The sequence below is a fragment of the Homo sapiens genome, chromosome 2 (assembly GCF_000001405.40).
Source record: "Homo sapiens chromosome 2, GRCh38.p14 Primary Assembly".
Classification (NCBI taxonomy): Eukaryota; Metazoa; Chordata; class Mammalia; order Primates; family Hominidae; genus Homo; species Homo sapiens.
The window spans coordinates 218,768,883-218,772,142 of NC_000002.12; positions in this window are offsets into that span (position 1 = coordinate 218,768,883).

A 3,260-nucleotide genomic window follows, 5' to 3' on the forward strand; every position below is an offset into this window, starting at 1 on the left:
TTGTCAAAGGCCTTTTCTGCATCTGTTGAGATAATCATGTGGTTTTTGTCTTTGGTTCTGTTTATGCGATGGATTATGTTTATTGATTTGTGTATGTTGAACCAGCCTTGCATCCCAGGATGAAGCAGGCTTGATTATGGTGGATAAGCTTTTTGATGTGCTGCTGGATTCATTTTGCCAGTATTTTATTGAGGATTTTTGCATCGACGCTCACCAGGGATATTGGTCTAAAATTCTCTTTTTTTGTTGTGTCTCTGCCAGGCTTTGGTATCAGGATGATGTTGGCCTCATAAAATGAGTTAGGGAGGAGTCCCTCTTTTTCTATTGATTGGAATGGTTTCAGAAGGAATGGTACCAGCTCCTCTTTGTACCTCTGGTAGAATTTGGCTGTAAATCCATCTGGCCCTGGACTTTTTTTGGTTGGTAGGCTATTAATTATTGCCTCAATTTCAGAGCCTGTTATTGGTCTATTCAGAGATTTAACTTTTTCCTGGTTTAGTCTTGGGAGGGTGTATGTGTCCAGGAATTTATCCATTTCTTTTAGATTTTCTAGTTTATTTGCGTAGAGGAATTTATAGTATTCTCTGATGGTAGTTTGTATTTCTGTGGGATCGGTGTTGATATCCCCTTTATCATTTTTTATTGCACCTGTTTGATTCCTCTCTCTTTTTTTCTTTATTAGTCTTGCTAGCGGTCTATCAATTTTGTTGATTCTTTCAAAAAACCAGCTCCTGGATTCATTGATTTTTTGAAGGGTTTTTTGTGTCTCTATCTCCTTCAGTTCTGCTCTGATCTTAGTGATTTCTTGCCTTCTGCTAGCTTTTGAATGTGTTTGCTCTTGCTTCCCTAGTTCGTTTAATTGTGATGTTAAGATGTTGATTTTAGATCTTTCCTGCTTTCTCTTGTGGGCATTTAGTGCTATAAATTTCCCTCCACACACTGCTTTAAATGTGTCCGAGAGATTCTTGTACATTGTGTCTTTGTTCTCATTGGTTTCAAAGAACATCTTTATTTCTGCCTTCATTTCGTTATTTACCCAGTAGTTATTCAGGAGCAGGTTGTTCAGTTTCCATGTAGTTTTGTGGTTTTGAGTGAGTTTCTTAATCCTGAGTTCTAGTTTGATTGCACTGTGGTCTGAGAGACAGTTTATTGTGATTTCTGTTCTTTTACATTTACTGAGGAGTGCTTTATTTCCAATTATGTGGTCAATTTTAGAATAAGTGCTATGTGGTGAGAAGAATGTATATTCTGTTGATTTGGGGTGGAGAGTTCTGCAGATGTCTATTAGGTCTGCTTGGTGCAGAGCTGAGTTCAAGTCCTGGATATCCTTGTTAACTCTCTGTCTTGTTGATCTGTCTAATATTGACAGTGGGGTGTTAAAGTCTCCCACTATTATTGTGTGGGAGTCTAAGTCTCTTTGTAGGTCTCTAAGAACTTGCTTTATGAATCTGGGTGCTCCTGTATTGGGTGCATATATATTTTGGATAGTTAGCTCTTCTTGTTGAATTGATCCCTTTACCATTATGTAATGGCCTTCTTTGTCCCTTTTGATCTTTGTTGGTTTAAAGTCTGTTTTATCAGAGACTAGGATTGCAACTCCTGCTTTTTTTTGCTTTGCATTTGCTTGGTAGATCTTGCTCCATCCCTTTATTTTGAGCCTATGGGTGTCTCTGGACATTAGATGGGTCTCCTGAATACAGCACACTGATGGGTCTTGACTCTTTATCCAATTTGCCAGTCTGTGTCTTTTAATTGGGGCATTTAGCCTATTTACATTTAAGGTTAATATTGTTATGTGTGAATTTGATCCTGTCATTATGATGTTCACTGGTTATTTTGCCTGTTAATTGATGCAGTTTCTTCATAGCATCAATGGTCTTTACAATTTGGCCTGTTTTTGCAGTGGCTGGTATAGGTTGTTTCTTTCCATGTTTAGTGCTTCCTTCAGGAGCTCTTCTTTTTTTTTTTTCTGAGACGGAGTCTCACTGTCTCCCAGGCTGGAGTGCAGTGGTGCGATCTCAGCTCACTGCAAGCTCCACCTCCCAGGTTCACGCCATTCTCCTGCCTCAGCCTCCCAAATAGCTGGGACTACAGGTGCCCACCACCACGCCTGGCTAATTTTTTTGTATTTTTAGTAGAGATGGGGTTTCATCATGTTAGCCAGGATGGTCTCAATCTCCTGACCTCGTGATCCACCCGCCTCGGCCTCCCAAAGTGCTGGGATTACAGGTGTGAGCCACGGCACCTGGCCCTTAGGGAGCTCTTATAAGGCAGGCCTGGTGGTGACAAAATCTTTCAGCATTTGCTTGTCTGTAAAGGATTTTATTTCTCCTTCACTTATGAAGCTTGGTTTGGCTGGATATGAAATTCTGGGTTGAAAATTCTTTTCTTTAAGAATGTTGAATATTGGCCCCCACTCTCTTCTGGCTTGTAGGGTTTCTGCTGAGAGATCTGCTGTTAGTCTGATGGGGTGCCCTTTGTGGGTAACCCGACCTTTCTCTCTGGCTGCCGTTAACATTATTTCCTTCATTTCAACCTTGGAGAATCGATGATTATGTTTCTTGGGGTTGCTCTTCTTGAGGAGTATCTTTGTGGTGTTCTCAGTATTTCCTGAATTTGAATATTGGCCTGTCTTGCTAGGTTGGGGAAGTTCTCCTGGGTAATATCCTGAAGAGTGTTTTCCAACTTGGTTTCATTCTCCCCATCACTTTCAGGTACACCAATCAAATGTAGATTTTGTCTTTTCACATAGTCCCATATTTCTTGGAGGCTTTGTTCATTTCTTTTTTTTTTTTTTTTTTTTTTTTTGAGACGGAGTCTCACACTGTCACCCAGGCTGGAGTGCAGTGGCGTGATCTCGGCTCACTGCAAGCTCTGCCTCCTGGGTTCATGCCATTCTCCTGCCTCAGCCTCCCAAGTAGCTGGGACTACAGGCACCTGCCACCATGCTGAGCTAATTTTTTGTATTTTTAGTAGAGATGGGGTTTTACCGTGTTAGCCAGGATGGTCTCGATCTCCTGACCTCATGATCCGCCCACCTCAGCCTCCCAAAGTGCTAGGATTACAGGCATGAGCCACCACGCCCGGCCTATTCGTTTCTTTTTACTCTGTTTTCTCTAACCTTGTCTTCTTGCTTTATTTCATTAATTTGATCTTCAATCACTGATACCCTTTCTTCCATTTGATCGAATCAGCTATTGAAGCTTGTGCATGCGTCACAAAATTCTCATGCCATGGTTTTCAGCTCCATCAGGTCATTT